Source organism: Homo sapiens, chromosome 11 (assembly GCF_000001405.40).
Source record: "Homo sapiens chromosome 11, GRCh38.p14 Primary Assembly".
Lineage (NCBI taxonomy): Eukaryota > Metazoa > Chordata > Mammalia > Primates > Hominidae > Homo > Homo sapiens.
The window spans coordinates 92,852,663-92,873,688 of record NC_000011.10 but is presented as its reverse complement, the minus strand read 5'-3'; the positions used below and the strand labels follow the sequence as shown (position 1 = coordinate 92,873,688).

The 21,026-nt window shown below is 42.3% G+C and overlaps 1 protein-coding gene across 11 annotated transcripts in view, besides 1 other annotated feature; it reads right to left on the bottom strand.

Moving 5' to 3' along the window:
* FAT3 (FAT atypical cadherin 3) overlaps nucleotides 1–21,026 on the bottom strand; it is a 671,656-nt gene that overhangs the window by 22,785 nt on the left and 627,845 nt on the right. For all 11 annotated transcript variants that reach the window (XM_017017179.3, XM_017017178.3, XM_017017180.2 and 8 more), the window contains 3 exons: nucleotides 16,341–16,475; nucleotides 14,367–14,524; nucleotides 6,480–6,948 (listed from right to left, as the gene is read on the bottom strand). In XM_017017179.3, the coding sequence (XP_016872668.1) occupies nucleotides 6,480–6,948; nucleotides 14,367–14,524; nucleotides 16,341–16,475 (762 nt within the window). The remainder of the gene's footprint in view (nucleotides 1–6,479; nucleotides 6,949–14,366; nucleotides 14,525–16,340; nucleotides 16,476–21,026) is intronic.
* Nucleotides 19,385–19,885: an enhancer, noted in NCBI's record as "H3K4me1 hESC enhancer chr11:92586970-92587470 (GRCh37/hg19 assembly coordinates)". NCBI's record gives its function as "activates a minimal SCP1, AML or CMV promoter by ChIP-STARR-seq in naive H9 embryonic stem cells {active_cell/tissue: H9 hESC(naive)}" and the evidence as "EXISTENCE:reporter gene assay evidence [ECO:0000049][PMID:30033119]".

Genomic DNA, 21,026 nt, shown 5'->3' with positions numbered 1-21,026 from the left:
TCCTTTCCTTGCTCAAAGAAGAGCATTGCAAAACATATTAAATGCAAAAATGGAAATGGTATAAGCAATTATAGCATTAATTTGGGCTGTGTAGGCAAATAATCAAGATAATTCCTGTCTTATTCCTTTGACTTAGTAGTCATTTTCCAACCTGATTCATCCAGGTTATGGCTTAAACGCTCTACCCTGCTTGCCAGTGTAGGTAAACATCATTCTGATCAGGTTTGGCTGCCTTGATAAGGAAAGATCTGCCTGCTGCACAAAGGTGGAAATAATGACAAATGTGTAAGTAGCACCTGGGATCTGAAGTCAGCATCAGCCACTCTGCTTGCTGAGTTATGGATTTCATTTACAAACTCCAAGAACTTACATGGCTCGGGGAAGTGGCTGTGATGTGGTGGTGAGGCACTGGGTACAAGTTTAGATTCTGGCTGTTACCCACTACCTGGGTGTGACCATGGCCTGACCTCTAGGAACTTCCTTATTTTATCTGATAAATGAGACTCACTAATACTCACTTCATCGGGAACAATAAGGTTTCTGGATTCATAAACCACAATGCAGCACACAACATTAGGTGCTTTATTGTTGTAATTATTGTAATTACTATAGATCCTGAAATCAGCTTCCTCTCTATATTGCTCATAAACCAAACAACTGGAAATCATGGGAGTTTTTTTATTCTGATGTTTAGGCTGAAGACTGGGAAACATCCAAACCTCTAGTCCATGTGAGCCTCAATTAGTATGAGAAAACTGGTGGATAGGTTATCATGTGAGATTCTAATTATGAGTGAGGATGAGCTCTGTTACAGTTGAAGTTACTTTGCCATTTCAACTTTCAGTCATTCCGATTCTTCTCTTTCACCAAACAGGGTACATTCAAAACCTTTAGACCTTGTAAAATAAAAATTTGAAGGTGAGACTTTTTCCCTAGGAAAGCTGGCTCACATTTTATATATTGTATATTGGGCCAAGCCTCTAATATTTTCTTTGAGGATCTGGAAACCTTTAATGTGTTAACATTATCCACACAGTAAATTCTCACCTTCTAGTATGTATCTGCACATAACCTACTTTAGGGTTTGAGCTTTTCTATTAGTGTCTATAATTATTAATGCTGTTACCATGAGGTTTTTTTCCAAGGTACCAAAAATATAAGAGTAAGTCAGCATTTAGAAGACAGTCACCCAGAAAAATTTTTTTCCATAAGCTGAAAAGCTCAGCCAAATTATGTCCACAGCATATTTACTGGGAGTTTGACATCTCCCTTCTCGAAGCTCAGTAAGCCAGTGGGTGGAGCATGTAGGGGAACCCTGTTCAGTTCCCTTAAACCAGCTGTGAGGAGAGGGAGGCCACACCAGTGGCATCCATTGGTCACAGAGAAAGCAATGAGACCCAGAATTCAACACAGAGCTCAGCACCAAGGAGGTACTTAATTAAAGTTTGATGGACTAAATTTATCTCGATTCTTACAAGTTAGGAACACAAAGTATTCAGCAAAACATATCCAAAGTGGCCCCAAAGTGCTACTGAAAACAGTTTTATGCAAACTATTTGCAACATCCAAGAACTTGTTTCATCCAACTTGACAGGCAGAATACTCACAATTGCCTAGAGGGAGTGGCAGACACTATTACTCTTATCTTTGAAGGGGAGCTCAGAGTTACCAAAATCTCCTGACTGGGGTACAAAGCTCCACCTTTATACTAATTTTTTTTTTTAAGTGCAGGCTGCGCATCCGACTCTCAATTCCTGAATGTCCTATGTCTGTTTACCTTTCCTGGAATCCACTGACTTGCATTTCTTCAAATATAGAGTTTTCAGGATTCCCAAATGTCAGTGGTTCTTAAACAATGGGTGTGCATAGAAACTCCTTGGAGGCTTGTTAAAAATAGAGATGCTTGAATTCCACTCTTGCCAATTCAGATTCTGTATGTTTGTTTGTTTGTTTCCCCTTAACTTCCAACTGATAAATTTTCTCGGTAGGAAAGTTCAGAAATGTGCAAATATGATTCAGTGACCTAGCAGAAAGTTCCTGATGTGGACAGCAAATACTGGAGGCAAGTAAATAGCAATCAAATGGGTCTTCTATAACAAGGTGTCATTTAAACAAGGTCCTTAGGTGATGCTGATGCATCTTAGAGTTTGAGAACACTACATACAATGTAAGAAAAAAAGAGTCAAAGTTTCCCCAGGATTCAGGGCAGTTCAGAGACAGGGAGATAAATCACTATAGCACCTAGGGATCTTGTTAAAATACAGATTCCGATTCAGTGGATTTGGGGTGGGATCTGAGATACTGCCTTTCCAACATTCCCAGTGATGCCAATGCTGTTGGTCCCTGGAACACTTTGAGTAGCAAGGGTTAAGGGTACAGGCTGGTGGGGAAGGGGTCTACAAACCTGGGTCAAATCCCACCTTTCCCACTTTTTAAATATTTTTTGGTTTTCTTTTTAACCATTGCATTTTCAAGGAAAAAAATATAAACCAATACCACTACACACTGTTTTGGGAAACTAATTTTTGTTTTTTGTTTAGAGAAAAGGTCTTGCTCTGTCATTCAGGCTGAAGTGCAGTGGTATGGTCATAGCTCACTATAACCTTGAACTCCTGGCCTCCCAAATCTCTGGGATTACAGGTGTGAGCCACTGCACCCAGCCAGTGTGCTTTCACCACTTTACTAGCTATGTGATACTAGGCTACCGACTTAGCCCCTCTGGCCTATTTCTTTATCTGTAAAATGAGGGTGGGTAGGTGGGAGAGAAGAATAGTATTGACCTCAGAGTACTGTGGTGAGAATTAAATGTCCCAGGGCATAAGCACTTTCAAGGTAAGCACTTATCACAGTACCAAGCACATAGTAAGAGTCTAACAAGCGGTAGCTCTTACCATTAAGAATCTCCCCAAGTTTCCATCTCAGGAGCTCAGGAGTTAGGCTTCTGGTTTCATGCCATGCTGCCTGAATGACTATTTATGGCATGGTGACTGCCTGGCTTCAAATGTGTTTTCCATTAATGGGCTTGAGCTAAGCATGATAAGGCGTGGAGGACTGAGGACTCCTTATTCAGACTGTGGGTGTTGACATATTACATTCAGACATTGGGCTGATCCCTGCCCACTGCATCTGGAAATGCAGGGATCACAATGGGACCTAGTCATGGCTTCTCCACAGTGGTTGCTATTTCCAGTTCATGTTTATGAAATACATATAATTTTAAGGCTTTACCGAGAGAGAGCCTTCTCTCTGTGGTTGGTTTATAGAGTCATATTTATACTCTCATTACAAGTCAGTGTTCTGGAATCTGACTCCCCTGAGGTTCCTATGGCCTGCTCCTGGGACAGCAAGAGTTATAATGCTGATCAAACCTGCTGACTGTGTCATTCCAAGCTAGTAATTGTGGCTTCCCTGACTTTCACGCCAAGGGTTTGATTGGGCTTAGAGATGGTTGGGGCAGAATCCTGTATCCCTAAAAGAAAAATGCTTCTTGTTGTGTGTTGCCTGCTTTAACAATTCTGAATGTACTAAGATAGCCTCAGTTTGAGAGTGGAGTCTGCCGCCAGGAGAACCGATGACCAATACTCCAGAATTCTTCAGTGGTCAAGGGGATGCTTATGCTAAAATATGTGTCCTGAAATTTTAGAGCAACACATAGCAGAGGGTCCAAACAACAGAAAATGTTCAAACAATTAAGTTTTGTTATCAGCCTCATGTGCAAGCAGTCTCATTTCAAGCTCCTCCTTCTACTATCTCTAGCCCAAATTTCCCCTTTGAACACTTCACGCAGCCTAGTCTTTGATCTGGGGGCACAACACTGTCTCTTCCTGTGATTAGACTTCCCTGGCAGCCAGAGGGAATTCTTGAAGGCATAAATATTCTTTCATTAAAGACTCAGTCTTATTGTTCTTTTTAAACTATCACTCACAGCTCAGAGGATTTTTCTTTTAAGTAACCTTTTAATTAGCTACATAGTTTCATAGATATGAAGTAAAGGCCAAATTTTGATTCTTTCTTTTCTTCCCTTTTTTCTCTCCCCTGTTTGGCACGAATTTAAGGAATTTGCAGATAGGATATAGGCTCTAGCAAAACTTCCTCTATTGATATACTATTGGTATAGACAATAGGGGCAAGAAAATGGGTTCTCTTTCTGCTTTTCTTAGAAGCCAAGGCTTCATCCCTATAGCCAGGAAGAGGTAGATACCCCCTCACACATCAGAAGAGGAATCTCATGCCCTTGGCTCCCCAGGAAAGCAACAGAAGTCCTGGATTTCTTGGATCTCCTGGTGAGTGGCAAGGAGTTTGCTAGCCTTGGGCCCAGCACTGCTGTGCATGAGAGTCCCAAATTTCCCCACCTGGGACACGTCCGGGTGTCTACTGAGATAAGAACCCATTGGCTAGGCTTGGGAGTAGCCTTGGTGCGGGATGCTCCTGCAGGGCTCCCTCAACGGAACAGAGAACAGAGGTAGTAGGCCTGTGAGAAGGGAACTGTGTAGATGAAGGTGAGGAAAGATACCATCTTCATTTTAGGAAAACGTAAGTCCCCCCAGACAAAAGAGAAACTTGAACTGATAAGAGGCTATTTCTCCTTGGAAGAAAGAATACCTGTTGTAGAATCCTGATCCAATGCCCAATCACAGAAGGAAGAAGGGAACAGGAAGACAAAGAGGTAGATTGGAGAGTGTGCTCTATAGGCAAGGCTGGGGCCCTAGGGAGGGCAAGACAAGTTCTCTAGGTTATATGAAAAGTATATGGCAAGTGGGTCATCAGTGCTGAAATATGGTTAAATGAAGAGATTTAAAAATAGAGAAAATTGCTATTCCCCATGTGGGTCGTAGCCATTTAATTAACATAGTTCCACTGAATACTTAGCTTAAGGATTTCATGAAATTTTTTTAAAAATTAAAATGCACACTGCAAAGCAAGATTCCCTAGTCTCTTTCCCTCATACAGTGATTATTATTATTATTTTAAAGATAATCCATTGTGGAAGCCCATAGCCCTGCCAGCAAAAACAACGTCCTGCCATCGTTAAAAGTATGTTACAATTTGTGGCTATGTACCCAGCATTTGACATGGAGTGGTGTTCTATTTCAACCCAATTTAATTATATGCTCCTTTTATATATCGTAGATGGCTCACACTAGCAGAATTGTTTTGCCTGGTGAAAAACTAGCCATGACTTGTCATAATGGGCTGGTTTATAGAACCACTGAAGTATAGTTACTGCCCATCATTTGGGAATTATGGCACCATAACAACCCTTTATTTACATACACTGCTGAGACAGTAAAAACAGCAAATAGATTTCTTAAATCGAGACGACAGAAATTTCCCCCCAGGGTACTTGGCCCTCATTGTGGTAGTAACATATGCAAGTCTAAACAACTTTGGTGTCTGTATTTCGATAGTGCATCATTTCATGGACAGTTTATAACATTCTAATAATAAAATGGACTCTAAATTTGGAGTTGGATTTCACGAACATTAGATGGTAATGTGCACAGCAGAATCTCTAAGTGATTTGTGAGGAAGGTTTAAATTTCCTAATGACACGACTGCTGAGCGACTCTGCAAAGGGACTGAAGTGGAATCAGTGGTTGGGCTGTTGCGAGGTGGCAAGCCTTCAACCGGGAGCATGTCTGACCTAGTTTACATTAACACAGACACTGCATCTTGGTAAAGTCAGGGATTCTTTTATCTCTAGACTCCTAGGACTTAAATAATCTTGGCTTTCCCCTCAAACAAAAGAAACTCTCTATAAATCTTTTGCTTTTTTTTAATGCCTACTCTCCTCTTTCATGATGTACCTTGTGGGAAAAAAATATTAGAGTAAAGATCATGCCTTCATTGCCTGCTTATTTGTCCTGAGATTTTAGTAAATTCCCTTCTCCTTATTCTTGACTTTCTACTCCTTTGTAAAGCTGTAACTAGACTTATTTTTAATATACACATTGCAAAAGTATGTTCCAAGATCTCCTATTCCTGGGGGACAGCTTCTAGTAAGCTTTAGCTTCTAGTAAGGTTGTAAGTCTTAGCTTCTAGTAAGGTTTTATGTCTACGTCTGGTCAGCAATTTCATGTGCATGGGCATCATAACTCATAGTGCTACTATCATTCTGCAGTGACATGCAGGTGGCTCATGAGGGCATATTTAAAAGGGGGTTCCATTCGCCCAACCTCCTCTGGCTTGAAAGGCCAGGGGTTGGACAGGGGAGTGGGCAGAGTTGATGGCCTCTCTGGGCCCCTGTGCCACTGCACTGCACCTATGGGAAGCTGCAAACGATTGGCAAAACTGGACACTCCTGTAATTGTCAAGAGCTGAGACTTCCCTAAAGCAGATTAAGAAGGTTGGCGAGCATCTTGGGTGTGAATACTCCTCTCTAGTAGAGTCCTTGCGTTGGGAGGGCAGGGATCCCCCTGCAGTTCATTCACTCTCCCCTCAAACCCCCAGGCCAGTGCCCACTGCGTAGCCACACTCACCCCCCGATGGCAGGCCAGTGCAGCTGCCCCCGTGCTGGCACGGGCTGCGCTTGCAGGCGTCGGGATAGAGCACGCAGCCCAGCTTCAGCTCCGTCAGGCCCACCACCTCCGCGAAGCTGCTGCGCTTGTTCTGCAGCGGCAGCTCATTGTTATTCAGTATCACCGAGTCCAGGCAGCCCTGGAAGCCGCTGAGCACCTGCGTGACCCGCGTGTCAGTCAGGCTGCGGATGTTATCCGCTTGCACCAGGGCGCCGAAGTAGATGCTACTCTCAGTGCTCAGCGTCTGGAAGTAGAGGGGCGCCCGGCGCCGCTCCACGTAGCTGTCATCCAGGGACAGGCTCGTGAAATTGCGGTTGAGCTCCAGGAAGACCGAGTGCCAGCTCCCGTCGTTGACAGCACGGCCCGAGATGCCCAAGATTCCAGGGCCGCTGCCGCAGTCCAGCTGGAACCACAGCTTGCCATCCACAATCTGCGTGGGGAAGGAACAGTGCAGCACTTTTCAACATGCAACTGGGAATATGTTCCCTACACCCTGCTCCTGGCCGGCCCGGGGGCTTCACAAGAAAGCTGGAATGTGGACATGACTTTTGCTCTACTCATAAATCTGTTGTGGTTTGATTTTTAACCACTGTGCCTCCCCCTTACCTGCCATGAAAATGCATGCCTTATATTTCACAAATCTTGTGATTAGTAATATGGGCACACCTTCATATATCCACAATTATATTTAAGAATGTTTCTACTCCTTGGGTCTTTACCTTTTAAAATTCCCAGCAATATCTGGTTTAGGGGTCTGTTTATTCTCTGCACCCTTCTTAGTCATTACCACCACAGGAATGAATTCCGGGAACTCATTAGCATTTATTGAACATCTACTATACGGTAAGCAGTGTACTAAGTGCCAAGGAGATCATCTGAGTGAATAGAGTTATCATCTCTGCCCTCATGTGGCTGACAGTCTGTAGGGTAGGTGGCCATTAATCAAATAATCACACAAATACATATATGTTCCTTGAATACATTTATATGAGTGCTCCACAGGGGAAAGAAAGAGGCCTGGTAGAAATGAAAAATTTCCTAGTTCTCAGCTTTGTCTACATTTAAGATTTAAAAGCTGCTCTATATTAAACACTAGCATATTCTTAAAATAGGCCTTTAGGATGATGCTCATGGTTTAGGTAAAGGTTATCTTCCAAGGTGCTCAGGGCTTGGCCATTTGCTTAGAATATCTGGATCGTTTGTGACACCTGGCCCTCATGAATGCTCCCAGCCATGGTTTGGGGTGCGACAACAGAGACCAGCCTGCTGCTGTGAGTGCATTGGTGTAGCAAGGGCATCACTGCGCCCGGGAGGCTAATCCCAGGAGACATCACACACAGGAAGAAAGCATGTGCTATGGAGGATCCTTGCTGGCAGAGAGCTGCAGAGCAGGGATTGGCCCTCCATGGAGCCCCAGGCTCAACTGCTGCAAAGAAAACATGTCTTTGAATCCCCTGTGTCGTCCACCTTGTTCTACATTTCTCAGAAATGCAAGGTGGCTTTGGGATCCAGGGAATGAGGGCTGCACCCTTGTCTAGACAAGTGTACATTTGGTCATGAAGGGATTCACAGCCAAAAATTGTGAAATAAAAGCTTCTTTTCTGGCCTATGTCTATGACCCAGCAAGAGGACCTTGTGGAGGCCAGCGTCTGAGTCATGCAACTAACACTAGTCTGTTGGCATTCATAGTTCTGTGCAGAGAACAGATACTTGTCAGGAAAGAAAAGAAAAAGAAAAGGAAAGGAAATGACAGGACAATACAGAGCTTCCAGGTCACAAACAGCCAAGGAGGTACAGAGAAAATGAATTCACAGAAATAGACTGAAGCAGTCCTTGTGAAACGTGTTTAACTCATAATAGACCTATTCGGGATTATCAGAGCATCTCTCATTCTCACACGTCACGTATTTCTCTATGCTTCAGTACAGACAACTGAATTCTTAGGGACTCTCATTTCTGCCTTTGTAGCTCCATGTTCTTCATCCTGCATAAAATTTCGTAGGTCATGCCACATAAACATGTGTATCTAGAAGTCAGGGGGCTTTAAGAAGCACACAGAGGTGTGGGAATTTTGGAATGCTGAATCAAATTCAGGCTTTGTCATGTACCACTCAGGTACCCTGGAGAGAATGGTCTGGCCCCTCTGGGTTTGGGTCTGGAGAGCAGAGAGAACTGCTATGGCTTATTTTACAAGGCTACTCTGTCCACTGCAGAATGGTTAGCCACATCATACACAGTTAGAACATACATACTTTGCTCTGTCATGCAAATGTGCAAATGTAAAAAGACTGAAGACAAATGTTTATGTTCTCTGAGAGCTTTCAAGTGTAATCTTTCTTTCTTCTTCTTTTTTTTTAGATGGAGTCTCACTGTGTCACCAGGCTGGAGTGCAGTGGCATGATCTCGGCTCACTGCAACATCCAACTCCCTGGTTCAAGGGATTCTCCTGCCTCAGCCTCCCGAGTAGCTGGGATTACAGGCAAGCGCCACCATGCCCAGCTAATTTTTTCTATTTTCAGTAGAGACAGGGTTTCACCAGGTTGGCCAGGATGGTCTTGATCTCCTGACCGTGTGATCTGCCTGCCTCGGCCTCTCAAAGTGCTGGGATTACAGGTGTGGGCCACCGCACTCAGCCTCACGTGTAATCTTATGCTATCATCTTTGTCATTTTATTCGGTTCCACAAAATTGAATGAGTAGATATTGTAAATCATACCAGAATACTTGCTCTATGGCAACTCCTGGATAATTTCCATATTTGTATTTTAATGTAAGTAATAAATCATCAAATGTGACTTTGGGGAGTATCTTTTTCTGGCACAGTCCACCTGCTGTTTTTAACTCTGTGGCTACAAACTGGTGTCCTCAGTCTATTATGAAAAATTGGTGGTGAGAGTGCAATTTATCTAAGTTTTTGTAAAAAGATGTTCAATTAACATATTACTTGGTTCATTCTCCTCTCTCACCCCCACCTCCTACCTCTTTGAATAATCACCAAGTTACATATTCACCAGGGAGAAATGACAGGACTCTGATGTACTCAAATATATCAGAGTTCTATAACTGAAGAACATAAAATTATCTCATACTAACACGGCACGGTTAAGCTTGCTTTTTATTTTTATTTTTGTTGCAAAAATAACAGCAGCAACATTGCTGAATGAAGGAAGCCAGATGCCTACACGATTCTTAGCCTTTTACAAACAAAAATCATTTGGATTGTCAAAATCCTAGGACTTTGAAATTACCAGCTTTGTTTATATGACAAACTAGAACACTGATGCCAAAAGTTACCTTGTGAAAAGTTAATAATCTTTTGCTATTGCACAGTTATATTATTCCAGAGAGAGAAAAGAACACTGTCTTTTCATGTCTATGTTCTCTTATACTGGAAAATATATTCTGATCATATTTAATTCTTCTCTGTCTTCAGAGTTGGGTTCACCTAGTTTTAAGTATCTTCTTTAAGAGAATGAAGCTTTCTCAAATCAGAGGAGAAGCTATTTTAATAGAAATTGAGGTGTGCATGAAACTGTAAGAAATGTCTATAGCAACGATACTGAAATGATTTGCTAGGGTTAGGGGTGTAGCTAGGTAATTTGTTCAATGAAATACATAATTGAGAGAGTGTTGCCCTAATGTTATAAAATATTTAGATTCTCAGGATCATTTGAAATCAGTGATGTGCTTTCCCCTGGATTTTTAGTAGCTTGGGGCTTGGAAGACAAGAAATCAGAGTTCTAAGAAGTCCTACTTTTGCAGGAAAGTAGGATTTTGAGTAAAAAATGTAAATTATGGCATGAAGTCTTACTGCTTCAGATTCTTGGCATGTGGTTATAGCAAATGCATAATAATCATGGAACTTGTAAGAGGATTATTCAATATTCTTTGAAAAGGGGATGTTTTAAAAACTTTTTATGTTTTCCCTGAGTTGGGCACAGTAGCATGTGCCTGTAGTCCTAGCTACTTGGGAGGCTGAGGCAGGAGGATCAAGTGATCAGTTTGAGACCAGCCTGGGGAACATGGTGAGATCTCATCTCAAAAAACAAAAAAACCCACAAACAAAAATACAAAAACCTATTTTTAAGGCTGCCATTAATAGCCATTTGGTATACATTAAGTATTTTAAATGAGTAAATGAATGCATAATCATCCCAGCCCTCTGAATTTCTTCTTTTGATAAACTCCTGTAGTTTATCAAGAGATATCTAACTCCCAACTTGCTCTCCTCTTTCATAGGCCTAGAACCAAAGTGATATTGACTGGCTGTCACTTTGAGCAAGTCATTCAATTTTCTCTGAGCCTTAGTTTCCTCACAGGCAAAAAAAGTAGACACTCATACCTACATGCAAGGGGAATGAGAGTCGAAATTACATGTATGTGAAAGTACTTTGTAAACTCTTAGTTATCTTATTATTACTACAAAATGTAATTAAGGTTAACTTATTTTTTGGTGACATTCTTAAATAGATCATTGAAACTCTCAAATCTTGTAGGGAGCTTCCTTGTTACTCTTTTGATCTATATTGGAAAGATCTGGCCATGCCAAGTGGGCTGTTTTACAAACCAAATGAGCTTTCCCTATCCTCCTTTCAGTTTAGGGGTCTGAAGCTAGCCATGTCTGAGAATCATCAGAATGTAGCAATGAATCATTTATAACTTCCCCCGAAAATAAAATGTGTGATAGTTATAGATTAACAACCATATTCTCCTTGTGCTTTTGCCATGATACTGGAGATGGAAGACTGACACAGAGATAAAGTGTTCTCCTACTGATTTCTCCTTACATCTCTTCTGGTGGTTTGTCATGTTTCTTTCTTCTTTTTAAAAAATCTTTTCCAGATCTCCCTTTGAAAAAGAATGCCATGTTTCTTTTATAGGTGTGAGGAAAGTCACAGAGCCTATCTGACCATTTTCATTGTTGCTTTGGCTGCCAGGAACCTCAGTTATGGTTTGGGCTCTACTGAAGTAGTTCACCTCGGTCTAGACTTTCTCATAATGATATTCTACTCTACCCAACTTCACTGGTTGGCTCTTAACCTTGTATTTTCATCTTAATGGTACTTTAATTTTATTGCATTTGGATGCTTATGGTAAGCCTTGAATTTCTTTTGGAAGAAGATAGGGTATCAATGGTAAACAGAAGAATGAGTGCCTTTTATTATTGCTGAGAGACAGTGATATTCTTTGTCCATGAGCATTTTCACTTCTCGAGGTCTCTGTGCAATTCTTTAATTGTCTGTAAGGGGCGCCCTTCACCCCACTGAGTACTTTAAGTACTTTTTAGAGAATGTGCTCTGACTGGGAAAATATAAACAACCAAGAGGTGCAATTTAAACAAAGCATTTCAGCTTAGTTGTTGAACCAAAGTGCAAGGCACATACTGTACCTAAAGCCAAGGAAATTAAATCTTGCATGAGGCTGAAAATGTTAAGCAAACAGATTCAAATCCCCTTAGTGGATATTCCTGGCGACTGTAGGAGAATAACTGCAATAGTTTAGTACAGCTGTGTCCTGCTTTAGGCAAACCCAACATATGAAAAGCAAACTTACAGAACAGACAGATTGGGAGTGATTATTCACATCACAAAGGGATTAATGGAAGGGTTCCTTCAAATAGCATCCATCTCTAGTTTATTAGAATTCCATTTACCAAGATTCAATTTACACAACTTTCAGAAACATGCTTGTTTCATGAAATGCAATATACCTTAGGAGCTGGAGCTGCCTAAAAGGCTTAATTATTCTTCTTTCGTATCCTCTGGGATCTGCACATTTTAGACTTTTGCCAGTGAAGTGTCAAATCACAAGCTCCATTTTAGGATCAAGCCATTCAGGTTCAATATTTTTGTTCTCTCTCAAATTTAATGCTCTATAAGAGATTTACTAATAGAAACTATTTTCAACCACCAGCCCTGTTAGAGCATGAAGGAGGAGACAGAAAGGTCAGTGAGGCCCACGTAGAGCCCTAAGAGCTGGTAGCTCTGAATGCTCCAAACACTTTCCCAGCAATTATACAAAACCTCAACTCTCAGGGCTATTTAGAAAATGATCTACTGACCCAAGGCATGCTGCTTCCGGGGCCAGAAGAAAATAAAGGCAGGACTTAGGTTTTTGAGTTTTTCTTCTTTCACCATGAATATCTGATTTGAATGCATCGTTCTCTAAAACTGTGCAATCAAAGTACTTTTCTTATTTTCTTTTAAAAATATTGCTTTCCTTTCTGGATCTTAAATTAGAATTCTGAGTTGAATGAATAAGGAGAGTGGGAGACTGCTTACAAAAGTAACCAACTTTTAAACTTCGACTCCCTGCTCACTCAACTATGGCCATCAAATAATACCTGGCAATACCAGACGTGGGTAAGTAAAGCCCTATGTGATCATTAAGAGAAGCCCACTGGCATTTAATGTTCTCTATTTCTCTCCTTCCTCACCTGCCTTTAGAACTAAAGCCTGGGCCACCTAATCAACTTGGATCTGACATATCAAACAATCAAAGGGCAGAAGCTGGAAAGGTCCACCATGTACTCTTCAAGCTGAAACCTTGGGAAGAAAAAGATTTCTTGCCATTTCCAGGTGAAAAGGCATTTTCCACTGGACGGACTCTGAATGTTTCTGAAGAGCATTTACAACAGGCTGACATAGCAACCTGGTGAGAATAGCATGAGATGAAACACGTCTCCCTCCTTCTCCTGCCTTCTCTCCTCCATACTAGAAGGCTGAATCTGGTCTACAGATGCCCAGAATGTGATTTTTAATAAATGAGTTGTAGTAGCAAGATGGAGAGTGAGGGATAGTATGGAGATTAACGGCATGGAGTGAGAGAGACTAGAGTGTGGGATCCAGGCCTCATCACTTATTAGATGTGCAACTTTGGGTAAATAACTTAACCTCTCTGAACCACTGTCCTCCTCTTGATCAAATGGGGATAACATGAAACAAACTTATCATATTAGCTGTATAATAAAAATAAATGATGCACAAAAAGCTGTTATCTTGTTTGCTTGTTTTTGTTTGTTTGTTTTGAGAAAGAGTCTCTGTCACCCAGATTACTGTGCAGTGGCCTCAGCCTCCCAAGTAGCTGGGATTATAGGTGCCGACTACCATGCCTAGCTAATTTTTGTATTTTTAGTAGAGACAGGGTTTCACCATGTTGGCCAGGCTGGAACTCGAACTCCTGACCTCATGTGATGCACCTGCCTCAGCTTCCCAAAGTGTTGGGATTACAGGTGTGAGCCACCACACCTGGCCCATTACCATTATTATTGTTGTTTTCACAAAGGCACCAGAATCCTTGAGGTGAATATAGATGTCAGACTTGCTCTAAAATAAATCTGGCTGCTTTAGGAGCATTTCTGAGGCTAGGAAATGACTGAAAAATTGGGCTACTTGGGTCATGATAGGACATACGAAATCTCCTATACCCCCTGTCTCCAATTTCCTCCCTGAGCAAGAACAGAAATTGCCTTCAAAAGTCAGTGGGGATAGACCCATGTGGTAGAAAACGATACAGCCAATCCTTTTAAAGGACCACCCCTGTTGTGGAATTGATTAGGAGACACATTCTAATGAACTGTTGAGCGATTACAGCTCAAAGGAAGCCAGCCCTTGAACCCGCTCTCAAGAGAGATGCCCCATGTACCAAGAGCCAATTTTGAAGCTGAATGTTCAAAAGGAAATGGGATGTTGGCTCCCTTCCCAGTTCTGCCGCTGCTCCCCTTTGCCCAGAAGTCTGCTTCTGGTCTTCTGAACTTAAAAGACAAAATGATTTCAGCCGTTCCCCAATCCAAGAGCCAAAACACTAACATGAGAACTGACTGCAGAAAAAGATAACCCATTTTAATTACCTTCAGAATTATGCAGGGATTTGCTCTGGTGTACATTATAATCCCATTGCTTTGCAGTGTTCGAAGACGCAGAGCTAGTTTGAAATCCTCTTCTTTGCTATTTTCAGAAAGCCGATATTTGATGTAACTGTTTCCAGCAAAGCTGAGAGAAGTGTGCCCTGAAAAGACCGTTATGAGAAGACATATATATTTTTAACATCCAGAAAGGAACAGAGACACATGAAATCACCCAACAACCACCAACCAAGTTGATTAAAGACCATGCATGAGAAGTTAATGAAGGCAATGAGGAGAAATCATTTTTGATTAAAAACCAGTTTTCCATTTCACATCACACTCTAATTTCAGAGTGAAAAAAATATTAACCAGTCAGCCACCAAATCATCTTATTTGCCTCATGCCAAGAGCCACTTGGTAAATTCCACAACTTGGATTTTCTTAATGTTACTAAATTTCCAACTCCCACTTTCTAAAATGAGCATTATTAAAAGATACCCCTTCATTCCTCCCCCAACCCCCAATCACTTAGGCATTCGAGAACTTTCAGCTCCATGAAACAAAGAAAACAAAACCATTTCCAAATGATATCCATGTTCCCCAAGTATCCTAATGCCTAATAGCTAATGTATGTCATTTGTACTAATGTTGCAAAAAGATAACTGATATAAAGGAAATTCATGTAGTCACACTTTCACTTTCTGGCCATTAATTTCGAGGCTCCCCTTAAATTTTGTCCAACTCGATTGCTCAATTCTGAGTTTACTCTTTTTTTTAAATTGCCTTCAACTTTATGTTTTAACAAGAAAAGTAATGGCTGAAAAGCTGCCTTGCTGGGGGGAAAGGTGGAATATGTGGAAATATACCAAATGGACAATAATTATAGACAATCAGAAGTTTTCTAGATAGAAAGGAGAAAAGTCAGCAGGAAGTGACTCCAGAACTTAGAAGATTTGGCTTTATGATCCCCCTACCCATCCACCTGCTATGTGCACAGTGCATATGTAGAAACAGGAGACAGCATAATTTTCCTGTAATTCTAAGCCTTACATGACTTAGGTAAGCATCCAGGTGGTCCCTTTACTTAATTGCAGCTCCATTCTTGAAATCAGCTATGAAGGAGCTTTGGTTTCTACTTTTAGGAACAGTGCTTCTCTTTGCAAAGGCTGAATTTCTAGAACTCAATGCTTGCAAAGTTCCTTGCACATACTAGGCATGGTTATTTTTTTATTCCAACTATTTATTGGATCCCAAAATTGTTATCAATGTGCCTATATTTTAAATATACCTAAAGAGGATTCTATTGGTACCCAAAATGAAAAATATTCTTTTCTGAGTAAAGAAGTGGCAGAGAATATATGAATCAAATGAAGTATAGAAATTGAATGAAGATCAGAAACAGGATCATTTAGATTAAAATAACTTAAATACTGATTTTTTTTTCCTTAAGATGCAGAGGTGAGCACCTCTCCAGCTGGAACATGAAGTTAGTTAAACATTTCCAGTAGGGAGTCTGCTTACTTGGTTCACCAGATGGGGATGACTCTAAGGAAGGTCAACAGGATTGGCTTAGCTATGCCTTCTGTGGATCTTGGTTTTGCGGCTGTGGATTTGTGCAGCACCCTGAGCATCAAAGGCCATGCCACAGATCCTCAGATTCCTCTGCCCAACCAACAGCCTTTTATTTTCCACAATTTCACACCCTTAACAGCCATGAGACATGATAAAAAACACATGTTGCAGTCTCTCCATTATGTAAGAAGCCCATAGTCTTTACATGCTCCCTTAGCACAAGCTGCAGCTGTGATAAATCCTAAGTAAATGTGAGTGTGGATGTTAGCTGTGGTCCATTCTAAAGGAAAAGGTTGCATGCATAAAGAAACGTTTTCTGGGAGGACTTGGATGGTGTAATTTACTCAAGGGCAAGTGTTTCAGGAATATGAAATTAGATCTGCATCATTCCACTCCACTCTGCACCTGAGCACTCTCCGAGCTTCCCTGGTGGACACTGGCAGAGGAACGGTCTCCTGCTGGCTTCATAACTGACACACTGCATGTCCCCTGGACACGGCTTCTCCACACAAGGATCGTTGGACCCCGGACACAGTCCTCCTGTGACAAAGGTGGAATATGCATGATCAGTACACAAAGGGATTCACCCTGCACTCCAGGGAAGATAGAAAAGGTTCAAAGGGAACACACAAATGGCTCAAGAGCTGGGATATGTGGGCTCTGAGCTGAGTCACAAAGATGCCACTCAGAAGTAGGCACACCTGAATGGGCTTCACCTGGTGTGGGTGTCCATCCAATTTCCCTACATCTGCCAAATTTCACTGCCAGACTGGTGCAGATTAGGTACAAAGAGTAAACAGAGCTCCTTGTTTTAGGCTAAAATATGTTAAGTTACATCTGGACCAACTTCAGCTGAAGAAAGATCACAATGCAAGGGCTTGTAGTATTTATTGGAGTGGGGTTTCTGCAGATTGGAGGCTATTTGAATGTATCACTTGAGTTTAGATTTCTTCTGCACCTCCCTCCTGCCCTCAAGAACTTGGAGGTTGATTTCAGAGGGGAAAAAAAAAAGACATTTCTAAAGAAAAGTATGACTAATTTTAAATTGTTGAAACACAACTCACATTGTTTCCTAATCCCTTCTACTACATGCTATGTTATTGATTAGCTGTAAATGTGCCCTACCAGCTATCAAAAAAACAGCAGAATTATCCTTGGCAAGGGAAGGCTTCCCTTCTACCTGTTCGATGTTCACAGCACAGTAAGATGAAAGGTTAATCCCTCAGAAGGGAAATCCTGGAAAGCAGATTAACTGATTAAGGCAGAATTCAGGACCCAAGTGAGTTATTTAAGAACTGTGCAAATATGAACCCACTGAAGGAAGCACATTTTCCAAAGGTCCTGAGTATTTCACATGTAATTAGGCTGCTTTTAATCTGGTAAGACTTTCAGTGGTAAAAGAATTATAAAAAAGGAGACACAAATTTAAAAAAACCCACAACTGAAACAGTGGTTTCCTAAATCAGTTAGGCATAGCCTAAAGGAGTGCCCTTTCCCCGTGAACTGAGAATGTGTAGCATACCAGCAGCTCATTCCTCAGCCAGATCTGGCCCATGATCATGCTCCTTTTCATCCTAAGTCTTTCCTTATCATTAAGCATATTGTCCCAGCCAAGTGCAGTGGTTCATGCCTGTAATCCCAGCACTTCAGGAGGCCAAGGTTGGAGGATCACTTAAGGTCAGAAATTTGAGGTTACAGTGAGCTATGATTATGCCACTGCACACTAGCCTGGGCAACAGAACAAGACCCTGTCTCAAAAAAAAAAAAAAAAAAGCATATTGTCCCAAGGTACAGTCATTTCTTTGTGCAGAAGAAAGCAGGAATTTAATGCTAACTACTTATAAACATTAAAAAATCTGTAATCCTTGACAGGAGCAATATAAGTAGCACCAGCAAACTCAGAATTCATAAATCCCATTTTCCACTGGTTTACAGCTCAGTCATAAAAGACACTCTTGGCACTGATCCAGCTTACAAAGTCTTAGAAGATGAAGGCGTTTTTAACTGAAAATTTGGAAAGGGCTGTACAAATGGTTCTATAATACTTAAATGCCCTGAAATACATCTTCCTATTTTCCTCCCCAACCAAATCTGTAGTCCTGCCATGTATTAATCAATATTCATGGAACTTAAAACACCTGTGTGACCATCTCATGATCTATTTCAAGAAACTTTTGAAAACTAGTTTTTAAATAACTTTTGGTGCATTTATTCAACAAATAATTGTTTGGGGCCAAAGAGGTATAAGGCCTGGGAATGTAAAGATGAAAGGATATGATGCCTCCTTTCTCTCACCTCAAGAAACAACATGAAAACACATGATGATAATATAATAAGATAACTGCTTTGGCAGGTAGGTGAGCACAATGGAGGGACCAGAGGAGGAAAAATTCTGTCTCCTGGGAGAATGTCAGAAGTCTTCCCAAAGGAAGGGAATATTTTAACTCAGGCATGAAGGGTGAGATCCTTTAAGTAACAAAGGAACGAGCTAACCACAGCTAGTAGCTTAACCTCAGGCCTGCCTTAATGTTTATTCATAATAAGTTCACAACCCTACCAGCTGACTCTGCTGTTTTCACATGTGACTTCATCTCAGTCTCTGACAGCCTGCACACGTCTAGCTAGCTCCTAAATATTGACCAGTAGTCTATGCTTAAAATGCAAATTGAGCCCAATGCTAACCTCAGCCACATGGAGGTGGCAATGTACACATATGAATCACAACATGCATCCCATCAAATAGATGTAACTTCTGAGTTACTTGGGCATTACCTTTCAAGTACGTATGGAAACAGCAGCTTATGTATTTAAGAAATCTGTTACTTTCTATTCTGTGGACATGCCCTTTCCCTTCTATTTCAGCCAGTCTAAGTCTAAACCTCTTTATAAGCTTCTGTGTTTCTGAGATACAGCTATAGATATTACATTAATAGGCTGTTCTGTTCTAATGTAATGGCTGCATTGCAAAGAAACCTTGAATCATCAGAAATCCAGCTTAAAAGCCACTGTTCCAAAGGGGGAAAAAAGGGCCAGATAATTTCAGATGCATGATAGCAAAGATATTTATCCCTATAGGAATAATGGTAACATTTTTAAAAAACAGCTATAAGTGAATACAATAAAAATTAAACTCTGTATTTCAGAACAAATCTAGCGTTTGGGTACTTCTACCTTTTATTCACATGTTTTGGCCCTTTCTTTTACCATCAGTCCCACCCTGGTAATTAGCACAGTGATGGTAGCGATAGCCTGTCTGGAATGGCCACTGTGAAGATGCCAGCTGCAGCAGGGAAGGCGTGGCTGGGGTTGCATGCTCCACGGGGCTGGTGGGAGCCCCACCCCCCTACTGAGTTGGCAAGTGTGAACCCTGCACTCCTGGGCACAGCCACAGCTGCCCAGCCACAGCTCTGGACCTGGGCATCCCTGCACTCTTGGATGCCCAGGAAGCCCCACCCCTTTCCCCTGCAAGCTCAGAAGTGCCTGCTCCTGCTCCTTGACCTCTCCCTGCTCCCAGCACCCACTCCAATTTTGAAGCGAAGTTGTGGCCAAACCTGGGTTCTGTCGCAACCTGGATGGATATGCATGCATTCAGGGTGGTGCTAACACATCAGTCCCGCTGCCACCTTGGGCCCATCTCAACTTTGTGCATAGATGAGCACGGGAGGGAAGCTGCGGGGGTGCTGAGGGTGGCTCAGCACAAGCCTGCAGGCGCCCTTCAGAAAATGAACAGCCTGGATACGGTGGATGACATGTTGATGGTGGCAGGAGGCAGATGGGCTCCTGGACAGAAAAGGGCAGGTCCCCAGTGATGCCCCACCTTCAAGCCAGGGACTATCTGAAGCCTGGGGGCTGGGCTGTCAGTTCCAGGTATTCCACAGACTGGAGTGAGAACTTATGGTGCTTTTTCTGGGTCTGCCATGGCCAGCCATGGACCAATCAGCATGCATGTCCTCTCTTCTGAGCCCATAAAAACCCTGGATCCTGCCAGACTCAAACAGATATCCAGACTAGCAGCTGCAGAGAGGAGCTACCCACTGTGGGTCTCCTTTCTGCTGAGAGCTGGATACTCCTTGGGACAACCTGCCTGCAGTAAGGGGCTACCCACCGCGGGGCTCCTGAGAGCTGTTCTGTCACTCAGTGAAGCTCCTCTCCACCTTGCTCACCTTCCACTTGTCTGTGTGATTCATTCTTCCTGGACACAGGACAAAAACTCAGGACCTGACGAATGGTGGGACTGAAAGAGCTGTAACACAAACAGGGCTGAAAAACACCTCCCCTGCTCTCCACATTGCGGGCGACAAGAAGGAGAGAAAAGCCCAGACCTAGGGGATCCCCAAGTCAGGGCTGTGACACTCTCTTTGAGGTTCTGTGGTTCCTGGTATCTCCAAGCTTCTGGGCACCACTGCATTCTGCATGTCCGGATGCAAGTGCCTGCAGCAGAAGCCATGTGTGGTACATCTGGTCCAGCTGCAGCCTCACACAGAGCTGGTACCTGAGCTGGCGCCTGGAGCTGCCTGCCCTGCCATAGCAGTGGGCGTGCCTTGCTGTGCACAGTGGCCGAACCCCATGCTTGCTCATGTGCCAGCATGCCTGGCTGTGCGCAGTGGCCCACACACCCCTCACTACTCCACGCCTGGCTCGCCCTTGGCAGGTGTGGGATCTGGGCCAGTAGTGTGAGTCAAGTGCAGTCTGCTGGGCTGAGTGGGCAGAATAAGCCCAGTGGGTGTGAGAAATACTCAGGCAAAAGGTGTCACCAGCCATAGAGGTTTTCAGCTGGAGAAGCAACACCCCAAGGATCCTGTGACAACAGGGTTCCTCACTTTCTTACCCATATCTCCTGTTTTAGATTAAAGCACAGAGGTAATTAGACCAGCAACTGGAGCTCAGCCTCATAGCTCTTTTTCTTATTTCCTTCTGTCATAACCCATAGCATGACATGTAATTAAATCATGGTCATTAATTAATGGATTATGTTAGATCCAGTCCCCACTGTGAAAACTGTAGTTTGAGGATGTGTAAAAAAATACTCAAATATAAATATTATAAGTACATTCTAAGATGAATAATATCAATATAAATATTAGATATATA